The 17,648-nt window shown below is 37.7% G+C and overlaps 1 protein-coding gene across 16 annotated transcripts in view; it reads right to left on the bottom strand.

The window, feature by feature from the left end:
- The window catches only part of ADAMTSL1 (ADAMTS like 1), a 1,004,318-nt gene that overhangs the window by 360,852 nt on the left and 625,818 nt on the right, over positions 1 to 17,648 (bottom strand). For all 16 annotated transcript variants that reach the window (XM_011518064.4, XM_017015312.3, XM_011518063.3 and 13 more), the window contains one exon: positions 16,807 to 16,852. In XM_011518064.4, the coding sequence (XP_011516366.1) occupies positions 16,807 to 16,852 (46 nt within the window). The remainder of the gene's footprint in view (positions 1 to 16,806; positions 16,853 to 17,648) is intronic.

The raw sequence follows: 17,648 nt of genomic DNA, 5'->3' as shown, positions 1-17,648 counted from the left end.
CTTTGGTTTAACAAAACAAATATTTATTTCTTTCTCATAAAATGTCTTTCCAGAGCAGCTGTCATCTGTGGGGTAACTCAGTGACCCAGGCTGGGAAAGGAAGGACCATCTGATAGAACAGAGCTTCTCAGCCTTTAATGTGCATACGAGTCACCTGGAGATCTTGTTAAACTGAAGATTTTGATTCTGCAGGCCAAAGATGAAACTTGATATTCATTTCTCACAGGAACCAGGCTGACGTTGATGCTGCTGGACCCCAGATTACTTTTTGAGAAGCAAGATTTTAGGTTTTAGGGCACATAGACTCGTTGGTCACTAAAGCAAGAAAGACAGAACTTGGGGACTGTCACAGTGTCCCTTGATTGCTTCCTCCAGAAAGTAACATAGCTCATTTAAACCCACATTTCAGTGACCAAAGCAACATATGTGGTCATGTCTAACTTCAAAGGGTTGGGGAAGTTCAATAGTCCCAGACACTCATTAGGAAAAGAATACCAGAAATATTATTGAAGAGAAGCCATGTAACATGCATACATACATACATACATATACACACTCTCATACCCCTTTGGGGATCACCATTGTTTTGCTTTTTGCCCACCTTTCCTATATTTTTCTTCCTCAAATGTAGCCTGTAGTAGTTATGTTAGTGAAAGTCCATGGGTAGTTAATGCTCATCTTTGTAGATCAGGACATGTTTGTATTTTGCCTACACTCTTCACTGAAAGTTGAGAGTACAAAATTCTACACTGACAGTTATGTTCCATTCATATTTTGAAGACATTAACTCATCTTTTACACTCCATTATGACTGAGAAGTTTCAGCCTTTAGTCTAAGTTTCATTCTTTTGTGGGTACTCTGTCTTTTCTCTGGTAGCTTTTACTATTTCCCCCTTATCCTAAAGTTGGAATCTCCTTCTGATGTTTGACCATGATATGTCTGGTTATGTATTTTTATTTTTCCTGTTCAGCACTTTCATTGCAACTTTAGTCTGATAACTATTTTTTTCCTTTCTGGAATATTCTAAATGGAATTCTGCCCCTTCTCATTGAACACTCCTATTTGATGTATATTGGAGCCTTTTGTACACTCTCTGTATCTCTTAAGGGCTCTTTTGTATTATATATTTTGGAATTTTGGCCTATATTTTGGGTAAAGTTTCTAACTTCTATCTTCAAATTTTCACTGATTCTGCATCTTGTTTGGAATTTATCCTATCTATGGATAAATTTTTATTTCAATTACTAGATTTTTGAATTGCAAATTTCTAATAATTTATTTTCTTCATCTATCTATTTAATGCTTTATTTCTGTCTTTACTCCCTAATTTATTCTTTATTTTTAAGCACTGTTATTTCTTAATGTGTTTCTTTTCAACATAAAGTCAATACTCATTATTTGTGTCACTTACGTTCTAGAAAATCACCATAAATGCTGAATTAGCAAATAATGAACCATTGCACTTAGGGAGAAATACAGTTCCTTCAAGTCTCTGGTCACAACATTTTAATTAACTGATCTGTAGATAACCTTATTTAATGTATGTTTCTTTTTAAACACTCCTTGTAGAGATTGTTGATTCATTAACATGAAACTCACATCCAACAGCACTGTAATTCAGGCCTGAAGGAAGCTTATCTAACACACACATTTTCTCCATAAGGCACATCACAGCTTTCTTGAGCTTGCAAACACTAGACAGTGCTTCAGCATATGCTTCGGGGCCATTTTAAACAATGAAATCACCAAAAAAGCACAAAAATAAACGTGAAAAACTTGACACTAAATAGACTGCCAAAAGGACACTTGTTTACAGTATGAGAGCTCAAACAGGAAGGCAGAGTGTCCCTTGTTCAACCACAGCTGGGAACATGTTCATTCAGCGACTCAAAGATTTAACTTTTCTTCACATGCCCATGAATGACCACAAATGTGCCATAAGTGTTGATTTGGGGGGTTACAAGCAAATTTTAGTAAGTAGACAATTCACAATTGCAAGCATCCATCAATAAAGAGGATTGACTTTATTAATTTTAAAGTCTTTGTCAAACTGTTTCACAGAATTTTATCTGGTGTGAACGTTAATTTTGTTGTCTTTCTTGGTATTATATATATATTTTTTTCCTATGTTTTGGAATTTTTATTTGCAGGCTCATTTTTAGTGAAAAGCTGTTTGTTTTCCTTTTGTTCTCCCTGTCTTTGTCTGTTCCAATGGTTTTATGATTATCTCCATACGGTTCACATGGCCCCCGGTCCAGAATCAGATACTGTACTAAAATTTTGGGTTTTAATCCATAATGAAGAAATTGCAAGTCTAGACCCAGAGGGAAAGTATGGCTTGGTAGAGTTTCAGTTCATGATATGGTATCTATGTCTATCAAACAGCCTCTTTTAGACACACAATTTCAGAGAAAACTCTCATTCTAGGCAACTGGCAACTGTCTTTTTTTTTTTTTTTTTTTTTATATATATATACAGCCGCTCTTCACAACAGAGAGCCTCCTCGAAACTCCTGACATCAAGTTTTCTACCTGGCTTAGGTCCTGCTTCTTCTGTGAAGGAAATTCAACCCTGGTATCCTACCAGAGTCAAGCTACTGCCAATCTTTGCTTTATTTCAGTCTTGGAGCCAAAAAGCCTATGAAATCAGCACTATTCACCATCTTGCATTTATTTTCCATTTTTGGTCCATGGACTTTTTCTCTTGCTTTTGAACCTGGCTATGCCACTGGTTTTATCATTTTATATTTAATCTGTGATTGTTGCTTGCTTGGAAAGGAGAGGATGAATAGATATTAAGATATTAATAGATTGCATAGATGTCCTCTGAGCTCTTCTGTTGTACTTTTGTAACTTACTCTGCATCAAATCCTATCTATATTTTTGTCTTTATTCTCTTCCTCCCTCCAATTTTAAAACATTTGAGAGTACAAAGTCTTACATACATTTTCTTATTTTCATTTGCTCCTAGAGCAATGCTTTGCATGTAGTCAAAAACGATCTGCTATAGTAAATTAAATGGTAATAAGAAAGTACACATCATTTTGCTCTAAGAAACATCTTCTTGGCAATTAGAATTGTACAGAATAGACATTTATTGGAGAATTTCTTACCTAGAAATAGCCACGTAAAATTTAGAAGACCTTATGAGATATCATAAAGCAGGTGTTTTCAAACTTTATTTTCGTTGCTGAATGATTATTTTTCTTCCAAAGAAATCTACATAGGATGCTAATAAATACAGCAGTTAAAAGCAGACTTGTTTTGAATGAAATAGGGGTGGTGTGCCTGGAAATCTGGCTGCTTGTCTTCATTGCCCAGTCACGAAGTCAAATATAAAAAGTAGCTTAAAAATAGTTTTTTCAAAATACTGTTCTATAAGAATTGACAGTTTTGTCTAAATTACTTCCAATATCTATAACAATTCAAAGTAAATAAATCCTAGTCATATTTTAATGGGAGAAAAAATAAAAAGGTATAAATTACACATTGTAAAACAGTGATATCTTTCTTTTAAAAATTTCTATTTGGGGAAGGAATAAGTTTTTTTGGTAATGAATATGCTGCTTGGGAAAGGGATGTTGGTATGTTGTTGGATACGGGTGTTAAAGAGCTATAAAGTATATTTACTCAGTGAAGATTCAAAGGAAAAGGAATCTAATAATGCTTTTTAATGAGAAGATCACTTGAGTCCAGGAGTTTGAGGTTATAGTGAGCTGTGATTGTACCCGTGCACCCCAGCCTGGGGGACAGGCAAGATCCTGTCTCTAAAAAAACCAATAATAATGAAAATAATAATGCCTCTTTAGCCTTCCCACTGTGATGACCATATTTCACTCAAAACTCTCAACTGAGTTGAAACCCAAACTAAACACTCTCCAACAGCCATATGTAGTTACTGCTCATAGCAAGATTATAAAGAAAAATATAGCCAAACCTCAAAGATAACCTCTTTAAGTTTCACAATTTCCTCTTAAAAGAAAGAGAATGTTTAAAATGCAAAGGAAAACATAAGAAGGACAAGACTGCTAGAATGATAGTACAAAAACTTGTTAACTAATTAAATAATGGCCCTTGCTTATAGTACCCAGCACAAAGTGATGTCTTGGAGGGAAAAACCTACAAGTTCATGCTGCTTGAGTTTCAGCACATCTTGGTGTTAATGAGAAGATTTGATGCTGCTTATCGTTTCTAGGCTTACAGAAACCAGGCTGAACACATGCAAGTATTTGCACGTTAGCAACCTAGGCATGGCAGCTTATTTGGTTTCATTCCGTAGGGCCTTGCCAAGGGATGAACTGCAGTAGTAATTTCTTTCTAAATTATTCTCAAATCCCTGCTTCAAGCTTCTATCTGGTTCACTAGAGGCCAGCATCCTTTTTATGAAATTCAGAAACTAGGACTTGAGAAAGTAAATTCTGAGGAGTATTGACTTAATAAATTTATATCCTCTTGACAGGCAGAGACGCTCAAAGGAGAGGGAATTAGAGATGTTTTCAGCAAGGATTCTTGGATTTGCTTTTTCTGCTGTATTTAATTTGCACATTAAAAATTCTCAGCAGTTCATATACTTCTAGCCTTGAAGAATTATAATTGCTATAATAGACTTGTTTGAATATCTCTTTTCTTAAAAAAAAAAGCATATGTTGTAAAAATGCTTGAGCCTTAAACTTTTTGGATCTCAGTTTTGCTGTTTACTAAATGAGAATTAGTCCAGATCACCCATATAGCTCCTGGTGTTATGGTGAAATGAGCATGTGCTTCGGCATTTACAAACCTGACAGGACCACTCCTTAGCTGTATAGCCTAAATAAGGCATTTCATGTCTTTAAATGTTCCAATTTCCTTATCTGTATAATTAAGGTAATGCCCAATTTTCAAGGTAGTGGTGAGAATTGAATGAGTTTGGGGCAAAAGGTCATAAGGTACCATGCCTGGCACAGGGCAGACAACCCAAATATACTAATTCTTCTCTAATTCTAACATTCTATGAGTCTATAACTTTGCCAGGTTCTCTCTGAGGTATGTAATCAGTCTTTATCTGTCATTTTCAATAACGGGGATTGTGGCAGAAAGAGATGAAAGCTGTCTGCCTAAGCTCGTGGAGCTAGCCAGGAGAGGGGACTCATATCAGCTTTTCTCAATCTAATAATTTTCAACCCTGTGGAAATGATGGTCTCATTCTTAATTCTCTTCATCAGTTGAAAGTTGAGCTGTTGAATGATTTTTCTTTTCTTCATACATGCATTTAGTCATCACTCTGTCATTAATAATAGGAGTTAGCTCTAGCTGAGTGGGTCTCAATATAACAACTGATCATGGCAATATTGAGGGAAATTACGGGTTGGCCAAGTAGGCATTCCTATTCATACTGAGTCAAGGAAAGTAGATGCTTGGCATTAGCCATCAATCCACAAGACAATAATATAGGTGATTGCTTGTCAGTCAGCATCACCCAAGTGAGCTGGAAGGTGTGACTCTTCAGGCCAGGAATGCCAGCTCATATCACTCAATGGTCATTTACAACTATTGCTAAACCCCGCTCTCGTGGTCTCCATGGGATGATGCTGGCTGAAAAAAAAAACTGTGATCAATTTAGGGGACAATATCTCCTATGGCCCTTTAAGTATACTAGAAAGATGCCATCAAACAGAAATCAGTTTTACTAATATATTCCCTTTCATATGTTCCCTAACAATTTGGAGTTTTTTATTATATCACCTTGAGTTATGAACAAGAGTGAAATTGTCCTTAGCCAAGGAATATAACTTTTCTGGAAGGAAATGTTTAATGCTGATGTGATACTGTGGGCTGTGGTTTCACTGGGCCCTGTTTCTTGTAAGAGTGTCACTCACTTAGCTTTTACCAAGGCAATGTGGAAGAAAGAACTAAAATTTGTTATTTCCCATGTATTTCCATTGTTGCACTGATTTCTATAAAGGAATACTATAACTGAGCATTACTATTATTTCCACTTCAAGATTGAGGAAACTGAGGCTACGAGAAGTTGAAGAGCTTGCCCCAAACCACAAAGTTAGTAAGTAACAGAGCCCCCAAGCCTGTATTCTTTCCACTGACGAGTGTTCATACCAGAACCCTCCCGAGAGAGTCAGAGTTGAAGCAGAGGATAAGAAATTGAGAACACATTAAGGAGAAGGGATAGGAGAGAGAATAAGGAGGAGTAAAATAAAGACATGTCAGAAAAAGCATTAAAAAAGAAATGTGTGCCACAGTCAGAAGAAGGCCGAGAGGAGAGGAAAAGCAGAAGGCCTAACTTACTGGGGCTGGGGGGCACCCAGTGAACTTGGCCAGCTGCCTGGCAGCAAGCACTGCAGGGAGATCTATAGCCACCAGATCCATCAAATGAAGGAATCTGTGAATCATTAAAAAAATGTTTATTTCTTTATGCCACAAATGATAAAACAGTTAGTCATAAAATATGAGGATTTTTTTTCCCAGAGTAATTGCTGCAAATATTTTCAACCATTACTCTGAATGTTCAGTGTTTAACTAGCGAAAAAGAAATGATGTGTTTTGAACCAAAGTCAACCTCCAGTTGTCCACATGGCATGCTGTACAATTGCATTTAGAGATTAATTTATTTGCAAGATACTGAAAGCTTATTTAGCCTTGATGTTATCACAGGGTGGATAGGGGCTCTGCCCTCAGAGAAACAATCAAAGTCACTCATCATTTCTCTTTTCAGAAACATTGTTTCCCTTTGTTATCTAATTTTAGCATTAAAAAAAAAAGCTGTGGGTCAAATCAGAGAAATTAGGATTTTTTGCAGATGTGTTGCCTAAAGAACATCCTTTTGTTCTAGCAACAGCAGTTCTTCTCAACTCCAAAAAGGAGAAACACACAAACCACAATGTCCTATAATGAGTTTAGTCACCATCCTACATTCATCTTGGCTTTACAGTAAGTTAGACTTCTTTTGGTGGATACTGATTTGTCCCCTGGGATATAATTCTGAGAATATACAGCAATTCCAATCAAGTATTTGGCCAAAGAACAGCCAAGCCATGATAGTTGCCAGAGACCTGACTGTCCAGCCTAATAACTGGGCATTGTATAGAAAGTCTGTTTTTCTAGAGTTCGTCCAAAGGAAGGGCCATTATAAGCCTGCAGTTCTGCCGGAAATGAGGTCTAACATTCTCCTTCCAGAATACCTGGAACTTGTCACTTGGCAAAACAATCAGGAGAAATTACCCATGATGCCATAGAATAAGGCTGATCTTTGGAATTTCAAAGTGATCTAATTTTCAGTTTTTAAAAAATAATGTAGTCTTTCAGAAACAGTACTTTGTCAGAAGAGAGGAGGAAGTTGAAGAAAGGTAGTATACTAGTTGACTAGGGTTGCCATAAGAAAATACCACAGACTGGGTGAGCTAAACAACTGAAATTTATTTTTATGCAATTCTGGAGTCTAGGAGGCCAACATCAGGGGTCTGCAAGGTTGGTTTCTACTGAGGGCTCTCTCCTTGGCTTGTGGAAGGCAGCCTTCTTCTGTGTCTTCACATGTCTTCTCTCTGTGTGTCTGCATCCTAATATCTTCTTTAAAGACCACCAGTCATACTGATTTAGGGCCCACCTTAATGACCTTATTTTAACTTAATTACATCTTTAAAGACCACAACTCCAAATATAGTTAGATTTTGAGGTATGGGAGTTTAGGATTCCAACACATAATGGAATGAGGACATAATTCAAAACATAACAGGTAATGAGGAAGAGTAGAGCCAACATGACTGAGTCAGGTACCAGGCTGAGTGCATTTTAGACATTTTCTCACATAATCCTCAGCAGAACTCTGGGAGGTGGTATTTTTTTTCTTTGTTTCAAAAACAAATAAAAACTCAATTATGTATAAAATGTTTTCTCCCAACCTCATCTTCTTTTGTTTTGTATTTTCTTTAAAATTATACTACAAATACAGGAATATGTGTTCATTATAAAAAATTAAAACACTATAAAAGCATATAGAATAAAAAATGAAAGTCCCCCTAACTTATTCAGTCCCTCCCTGCTCTGTATTAGGTGATCAGTTGGATGTGTGTCCTTCAATGCCTTGGGATGGTGCCACACAACCAGACACATTTCATTCTGGGGATTATTAAAAACTGAGATCATACTATAGGTTATTACTCCACAATTTGCTTTTTTAAACTTTTAACAAGATAATTTGGAAGAACTCACAGGTTTGTACAAATAGATCCACCTTAATCTTTTTAATGACTGTATAGCATTCCATGCTATGAGCATATCACACCTTATTTAACCAGCCATCCTCCATTTGTTTCCAATTTTAAAATTACCATTAACATTGTATTAACATTTTCTGTTTGTACATATATTAGAACGATATTTTTATATGCAAGAAAACTGAGACTGAGAGAGGTTAATAAACGCGTTTGAAAGCACATAACTGGTAAGTGGCAGCTCAGGATTCAAGAGGGCCCATGTTCTTTCTGCTACATAACACTGCTTTAAGTCCTCATTATCCATGGGATTGAAAAAGTGAAAAATAGATCCTTTAAATTACTCTCCACACTCCTCCCACCCATAAATTTTTTTTTTTTTTCTTTGAGATGGAGTTTTGCTCTTGTTGCCCAGTCTGGAGTGCAATGACACGATCTCAGCTCACTGCGACCTCCACCTCCTGGTTTCACGCGATTCTCCTGCTTCAGCCTCCCGAGTAGCTGGGATTACAGGTGCCCACCACAACATCAAGATAATTTTTATATTTTTAGTAGAGACGGTGTTTCACCATGTTGACCAGGCTGGTCTTAACTCCTGACCTCAGGTGATCTGCCTGCCTCGGCCTCCCAAAGTGCCGGGATTACAGGCATGAGCCACTGCGCCTGCCACTCATACATCGTAATAGCCTTTTAGAGACTGTCCAAATGCAGAATGCATGCAGACTCTGAAAGATAGGAGAGCCTGCTCCCAATTTTGTTGTATCAGTGTACAAATCAAGCCTTCATCAAGTGACTTAGAAAAGACATGTCCCATCTGACTTTAACATGAGAGCAATGTCTATCTTAGGGGAGGTTATATAGTATGAGGGAAATTTCTGTTTTTCAGCTGGGTAGGTCAGGAAAGATTGAAGCATGGATGGGTCTGGGGAGAAGTATATTTCTTTGGTCCACTACTGGAGAGAGTGCGTCTGTGGCAGGGTGAAGCAGCAGCCAGGTTCTTGGAGGCCCTCTCTAGTAGGTGGGGGATTTGGCACATTTATTAGGAAGAAATCAACGTTCCTGCAATTAGAATTTCTTTCTCACTTAAGAGTCTTCCTACCTGAGGTTAAGAAATCCCTCTCCTGCCTTGGATATATTTCACCTGAGACTGGCAGACCGGGCCTGGGAGAAGAGAAATGCACAGAAGGGGTAGATAGAGTCACCAAGTTTTCTTTCAGCCTTCTGCTCTTCCAAAGCTCATCACTCTGAGTGAGGGGCTAAGAATGTCCCTTATGAAATAACATGTGGGGCTAAGTTCAGGCTCTTCAGCATAGATAAATATCCCACTTCTTTCCCCACAATATACCTTGTACTGCACCTGATAAAATGACCCACAGGCCCCCAAATAAGCTGGGCTCCTTCATGCCTCACCTTCCAAACATACTAAGGACATTTAAATGTCAACTCAGAGAGAATTTCCTGACCACCTCAGGTAGAGCAACCCTCCATCCCTGTGTCACTCTCCATCCCATTACTCTGCTTTATTTCTTTCATAATCATTCACTATCGCTTCTCGGCCTTTTGGCTAAGATCAAGTGTAGCATAATCATTCACTATATGAAACTGTCCTCTTTTAAAACTTTATCATCTGCATCTCACACTATAATATAAGCTTCATAAGAACAGGGGCATTATCTTTCTCTGTTAATATTATACGCCAGTGCCTAGAAAAAGTGCCTGAGACCTGGTAAATCCCAGTGGATATTGTTGACTCTACTTCCATTTTTCAGAAAACTAACTCTCCCTCTCTCTTTCTCTTTCTCATTGCAGCCTGAAAAAATCCCTTTCATCTTTTAAAGCTCAGCTCAACTGTCACCTTATTTAGAATGTCATGCATTTTTTTATTCATCCTATGTGTTGAATGACTACAGTGAGTTGGATCAGAGGCTCTTAATTTCTGTTTACAGCACCATTAATGTCTGGGTGAGTTTTTTGTGGTACTTCTAGGCCGGCCAACAGGAATACCAAACAATTCCATTTATTAAGCAGTTAGGTCCAAGCAACTTAATATATATTTGTGTCCTGATGATTTAATAGCCATTTGAAAAAACAATGCATATAACTTGAGAGAAAAGTACTATTTTACTTCATTCATAAATAACATTTATTTATTAATGGGATGTGTGTGCCTGTACTACATCCCAAAGCCTGGAATCAGATTGGACAATCCTCATTCTTGTTTCCTATTCCATGTTGTTTTTCTCACAGTACTTGCTTTTTATCAAAGCAAACCCAGCTTTACGAAGATGAGATGTCATAGAAAGGAATACAGCATGATCAAATAGTTCAAAGAGTGTTCAACATATGTTAAGTCTTGATATGTTTCCCTTGAATATTCAAAATAACCTGAGGCAGTTCTGTGAGTTTTCTGCGTTTCCAGGTTCACAGTGCAAGAGGCATGGTGTCAGACACTGAATGCCAGACCCTGAGTATGCAGCGGTGAAAGAATCAGACATGGTCCTTCCATGACTTAGCACTTTGTTCTTACCTCCATACTGATAGCGTGCGTCATACTTTATTTAGTTTTGTGTTTGTGTATTTGTCTTTTCTCCTAGCCTCTGACTTCCCCCAAGGGCAGGCTGCCTATCTCTTTATTGATGGTGGCAACTCCTGATATCCCTAGTACAGAACAGGAGTTGGGTGTTCAATAAATGCTGTTTTAAAACTGATTGATCAAGAGAATGAATAAGCGAATAAGCAAAAAATAAATGGCCCTGGCAAGTAGCATCATGCCTTATTTTCAACTGCTAGAATAATAAGGACTAGAGTATGGGAAAGTTTAGTAGCCTACTTCCCATCTTAGAGTGGCTCTTGGCTGGAAAGAGCCAAGCGTTGGCTGGAAAGAGTTGGCTCACTGACCAACTCTTGCAGTTGTTATTATTTACTAGAGCATCTCTCTAGACTTCAGGGGTATTTCTCTGGTCTGAATGTTGTTTCAACAGTTTCTTTCAAATTCTGACCAAGGAAGACCTGTAGCAGCGTCATTGTTTCTTCCATATGTTCCATTTGATCCTTGACATAAAGCACCAAGTGTTTCCTGACTTTGTGATATACAAAGGCCTTATGAGAAAAATAGACAAATAGACCAAATGGGAATTTACCTTACGCCCACTGTTAATAACCACATGAACAACTCTGTGAATGCCATGAATTTTCACAACCTCAACGAGAATCACCAGTCAAGATGGATGGTCAATTGTACAGCAAGGATGAGAACTTTGCTTCCACTCTCCACATTGACTCTCTTTGCTCTGACTCTACTTTATCCCTTGCTATGAATCTTTTCACTATAGTCATGCCAGTTACTAAACTAGCATAGACATCTTCATTAATCTGCATTCAGATCCAAATCTAGTATAGCCCAGATATGATACTTCTTAAGAATTATAGAATTTCAGAGGTGGACGGGACCTTTGAGGTCATTCATTTCAAATCTCTCACTGTTTGAGTGTAGAAACTGAGGCTCAAAGAAATTATAAACTTGCCATGATCATTCTGTTCTCTCTGGCTATAATGCCGCGGCCTTTGCCTCCTGTTTCACACAACAATGCTGGAGATCACAAGAGTGAATCATGTCAAATTGAGGATGAGGCACCGTAACTTAGGAAAAGCCATTCTATCTCTAGAACATACCCAAATCCTCCCACCAGAGCCACTCTAGTCCACACAACCATTAGCACCCACCTGAACTACCGCAATGATCCCCCTGCTGGAATTTCTGCTTCTTCCCCCTGCTTTGCATCCATTCTCCAGAGTGAGCCTGCAGCCAAACCTATCTTTTTCATTATAAGTCCCATTCTACTCTCCCCTGCTTAAAATTATCCAGGAGCTTCCTCCTTCTCCTCCTCCTCCTCCTTCTTCTTCTTCTTCCTCTTCCTCCTCTTCTTCTTTCTTCTCTTCTTCCTTCTTCTTCTTCCTCTTCCTCCTCTTCTTCTTTCTTCTCTTCTTCTTCTTCTTCTTTCTTCTTTTTTTTTTTTTTTAAATAGAGACAAGGTCTTGCTCTGTCTTCCAGTCTTGAGTGCAGTGGTGTAAACAAGGCTCACTGCAACTTCAAACTCCTGGGCTCAAGCAATCCTCCCGCCTCAGCCTCTCTAGTAGCTGGGACAACAGGTGCACACCAGCATGCTAATATTTGGTTTTTGTTTTGTAGAAACAAGGTCTTGCTATGTTTCTCAGGCTAGTCTCAAACTCCTGGCCTCAAGTGACCCTTCTGCCTCACCCCTCCACCCCCAAAACATTGGGATTACAGGTGTGAGCCATGGTGCCTGGCCATCCAGCAGCTAATTTTTGTACTTAAAATATAACGTAAGTACTTTACAGTGTCCTGCATGATCTAGCTCCCACCTACCTCTGGTTTTGATTTTTTCTTATCTTCCAATACTCTTCCTCTTGCCCACTAGACTTTAGGTATATTGGCTTTATGATTTCCTTGACACAGCAAACTCTCTTGTACTTCACAGCCTTTGCACTAGCTGTCCTTTCTGGATTGCTACTCCTTAAGTATTCACATAGCTGTTTTCTTCTTGTTATTCAAGTGTTACTTCTCAAGTGGATTTTCTGAACTTCCTCTCTGAACTAGCTACCAATAGCTTAATTCTCTGCATTGCACCAACTGCTGATATATTTCCTTTTAAATAATTTGTTTCCATGCTTGTTTGTAATCTCTTTTTCTCCATTAGAATGAAAGGTTCAGGAGAATTGGGTCTTGGTTTTATTTAACAATGAACCCCAGGACCAAGAAGAATTCTTGGGCTTAATACATATTGTTGTCTTAAAAACAGTAAAATGTTATAGTGAGCAACAAAGAATTTAATAAAGAAATTAAGAGCATCACCAGCTACCACAAGCAGTGTGGCCTATTATGTTGCTAATTATGGTCACTGCCTCCTAAATACCAACTCATATGAACCTTAAGGATAGTGCAAAAAAAACAGTTTATAAGTACTCTAAACACATTGGAAGTCACTTTAAAATCCCTAATTAAGTTCAAGGGGTTCAAATTTGAGGTTTAACATGAAGATATGACCTAAGAAAACCTTTTTAAGAGCCTCCTTCACTTAGTCTTGTGGTGAAATCTCTGAGACCTAAATGACCTGTTTGACTGGTTTGCTAGCTCACACCTATTTTCTACCAATAGCATCTTTGTCTTTCCTTCCAGAGATGGAGCACCTTGCTGCTTCCTTAGAATAGAGCAGGGAACTGTAAAATGGGAAAGATTAGATAAACTCTGTCCTTAGGAATGAAAATAGTCTTCTTGAACCAGCTACACAGAAAGTAAGAAAGTACCATGACTATGAGAACTATGCAAACATTATGGGAACTTTAACTTTCTTGTATTGACATACTACTTATAGAGTGGTTGGCAATAAATTTTTAAAAGCCTGTGAGCTGCTTTTCAGGAAAAAAAAAAAAAAAGGGAAACTGGGGAGATGTTTTCTACTCCTCATATTACCCTGGGGAATACGAACTCCCCAACAAGTTATATGTAGCGGTTCTACAAAAAATAGGAAAAGAGGCTGAATCTTTGGAGATGAAGTAGTTCAGAAGTGCCCCAAGGAAGCTGTCCAGGGATTAAAGATGACCGTGGAGATTTAGCTAAGAGACTCTCAAGTTTTTCCAAATCAAGCACCTAACAAAGAATATTTAACTGAATTGTTCTAAACTTCCAAATTTGAAAAACTGGGATGTGATCATGAAAATATTCTTTCTTAAAATTTTTTTTGTGTGTTTTTTCGCAATGCTGCTTCTGTTATCACTAAAAGCAAGAAAATAAAGCTTCAAATTATTTGAAGATTCTAGATTCTCATTAAAAAAATTCAGCATCAACTTGATTCTACAAGCTATAAAGATTTTGGCTCATGGAGTGCTATGGATTTTAAGTAATATGAGGTCAGAGTCTGATATGATTTGGCTGTGTCCCCACCCAAATCTCATCTTAAGTTGTACTTCCCATAATCCCTGCGTGTCAAGGGAAGAACCAGGTGGAGATAATTGACTCATGCAGACAATTTTCCCCATGCTATTCTCATGATAGTAAGTTCTCACAAGATCTGATGATTTTATAAGGGGCTTCTCCCTTCACTCAGTTCTCATTCTTCTTTCTCCTGACATCTGTGAAGAAAGATGTGTTTGCTTCCCCTTCTGCCATGATTGTAAGTTTCCTACTTACAATCCCCACCCCTGAAGAGCTGTGAGTCAATTAAATCTCTTTTTTCCAAATTACCCAGTGTTGCATATGTTCTTAAAGCAGCATAAGAATGGACTAATACAGTAAAATGGTATCAGGAGTGGGGTGCTGCTATAAGGATACTTGAAAATGTGGAAGTGACTTTAGAACTGGGTAACTGGCAGAGGCTGGCACAGTTTGGAGGGCTAAGAAGAAGACAGGAAAATGTGGGAAAGGTTGGAACTTCCTAGATACTTGGGGGGCTCAGAAGACAGGAAGATGTGGGAAAATTCGGAACTTCCTACAGTCTTGTTGAATGGCTTTGACCAAAATGCTGATAGTGATACAGGCAACAAAGTCCAGGCTGGGGTGGTCTCAGATGGAGAAAAGGAACTTGTTGGGAAGTAAAGCAAAGGTGACTCTTGTTTATGCTTTAGCAAAGAGGCTGGTGGCATTTTGCCCCTTCCCTAGAGATCTGTGTAACTTTGAACTTGAGAGAGATGATTTAGGGTATCTGGCAGAAGAAATTTCTAAGTGACAAAGCATTCAAGAGGAAGCAGAGCATAAAACTATAGAAAATTTGCAGCCTGATGATGAAATAGAAAAAATTTTTTTCTGGGAGAAATTCAAGCCTGCTGCAAAAATTTGCACAAGTAATGAGGAGATGAATGTTAATCACCAAGACGATGGGGAAAATGTCTCCAGATCATGTCAGAGACCTTCCTGGAAGCCCCTCCCATCTCAGTCCCAGAGGCCTAGAAGGGAAAAATGGTTTCCTGGACCAGGTCTGTGGCCCCCTGCTCTAGGCAGCCTCTGGATGGACTTGGTGCCCTGTGTCCCAGCCACTCCAGCTGTGGCTAAAAGTGGCCAAGGTACAGCTCAGGCCATTGCTTTAGGGGGTGCAAGCCCCAAGCCTTGGCAGCTTCCATGTTGTGGTGGTCCTGCAGGTGTGCAGAAGAATTGAGGTTTGGGAACCTCTGCTTAGATTTCAGAGGATGTATGAAAATGCCTGGATGTCCAGGCAAAAGTCTGCTGCAGGGGTGGAGCCCTCATAGAGAATATCTTCTGGGCAATGCGGAAGAGAAATGTGGAATAATAAAAATGCCCATGATATTGAGGAAAGAGCTTCTTCAACAGAGGGATCGGCAAGTACAAAAGTCCTAAATATGCATATACCTCTTTGTTTCCTTTATTCCCGCTTCAACTTATCACTCTAATTTCAAATGCTTTTCAAGTCTTGCAGAGTCAACTTAATTTTGATCTCTCTTGTGTCTATTTAGTATTTCCTCTGGGTTTAAGTTCTCCTCCTTCTTCTTCTTCTTTCTTATAAGAGACAGGGTTTTGCTATGCTCCCCAGGATGGTCTTGAACTCCTGGGCTAAAGGGATCCTCCTGCCTCAGCCTCGTGAGTAGCTGTGACTACTAATGAAGGCTTAAGCCTTCATTACTTCTTGCTCCTCATCCACTTCCTGTTCCAGTGCAACCCTTGTATCACCAAAAAATTAACCTTTCTAAAAGGGAAACTCTGTAACATCATACTCTTGCTCTTAGTGACTCCCATTATTCACTGAACTAATATAAACTTTGAAGACTAACATTCGAATCTTTTTATGATATAACCTCAAAAATATATTTCAATTCTTCTCTTTTATACTGCTATACTCAACTCTGGTGAAACTAGTGCTCAGACATTCCTGCCTCCAAACTTGCCCATTATGTCCTCTCCATTGGACTGACTGTCAACCCTTCAAATCCAATATGGGCTAGTCACAGTCCTCCAAGCTGTATCTCAAATCACCTTTTCCTTTAAGATTTCTCTCTATTTTAGCCCACAAAGAACTTTATTTATTTCCTATGGCATTTGTGATATTTTTTTCCTAGAATGTGGTTATGTGCAATGCACATCTGTCTTCTTTCTCTATACCTCTTACTATACTACAGATGTTTAAAACAGGGACCATATGTTATTTATTCTTGTACTGGTGTAGTGCCTCACACATAGTTGGCACTGAATAATATTTGTTGAATAAATGAATGAGTTTGTCAAATCTGAGTTTGATTTACAAATATTTATTTCATGATACCCCAACTGGTTTCCCTTTTATCAACCCTCTCACTCATCCTCATGAGATCTATATGCAAAAAGGCAGAAAGTAGGGAGGAAATGTAGAGTCCTTGTTTTGAAATAGTCTAGTTAGTTTCAAGCTGCTCAAATGATTAAAAGTCTATAATGAGGAACTTAAAAATATCATTTTAGTCCTGCATATAATCAGTACAGTATGAGATAAAAACTCTCAGTGAAATACTAGTTGGTTGATTTCCTGCTCAGGATATAAAACTGCTTAGCACCATTCAGTGCTAACAAAAATACATGATTACAATCTCAGAACCTTATACTTACCACATTACTGCATGTTCTGTATCGGATATTTCTTCCTTCACAGCTCCTAAGTTGCAAAAAGAAAAAAGAAATATTACTACTTATGAAAAGCTCAAAATCAGAAATATTTTCTTATAAAAATTTGCTCTAAATACTAGTAAAAGGGCCTCTCTTTTCTTCTAAGCATGTTCTTAGAGGGTTTACTATTAAAAATCAAATTGAGCAGATTTAAAGAAGTTATAGATGTAAATTGATTTCTCTATAAGGGTTGAAACTAAGTATTTATCTTGTTTCAAAAATTTTCAAAATAAGTATTTAGTGCATATTTAATCAAATAAATATTAGTACAAACTTTTCTGAAAAAACTGACATTCAATTAATCCTTTCTTCTTATTTCTGATATAAAATTGAAGATATATTTCACTGAAAAACTTAGATCTTGAAAATAAATTGGAATTAATGGAATTAATATTCAACATGTCTTAAAATCATAATTCTAAGAATGTGGAAAGTCATAATTCTTAAAAAATTATTTTTATTTATAAAATATATACTCATTACAGAGGTTTTGGAAAAGACAGATTACCAAAAAGAAAAAAAAAGAAGTCCCCTGTAGTTGCCTCATCTAAAGACAATCACTATTATTTTGATTTATTTAGTCCTTTCCAGTATAAATAAAAAAAATCACATCACTTACGCAATTTTGTAGCCTGTTTTTGTTTCCACTTAAAATTTTTTGGAGGCATTTTCTCACAGTATTAAATAACTTTAAAAACACCATTTTGAGAGCTACATAATATTCTATCAACTGATGTAATTTTTTCCATAATTATTCTTTCATTATTTGTCATTTAAGTAATTTC

The sequence above is a fragment of the Homo sapiens genome, chromosome 9, assembly GCF_000001405.40.
Source record: "Homo sapiens chromosome 9, GRCh38.p14 Primary Assembly".
In the NCBI taxonomy this organism is placed as follows: domain Eukaryota; kingdom Metazoa; phylum Chordata; class Mammalia; order Primates; family Hominidae; genus Homo; species Homo sapiens.
Note: the sequence above shows the minus strand (reverse complement) of the source record. Positions and strands in the feature narration are given on the sequence as shown.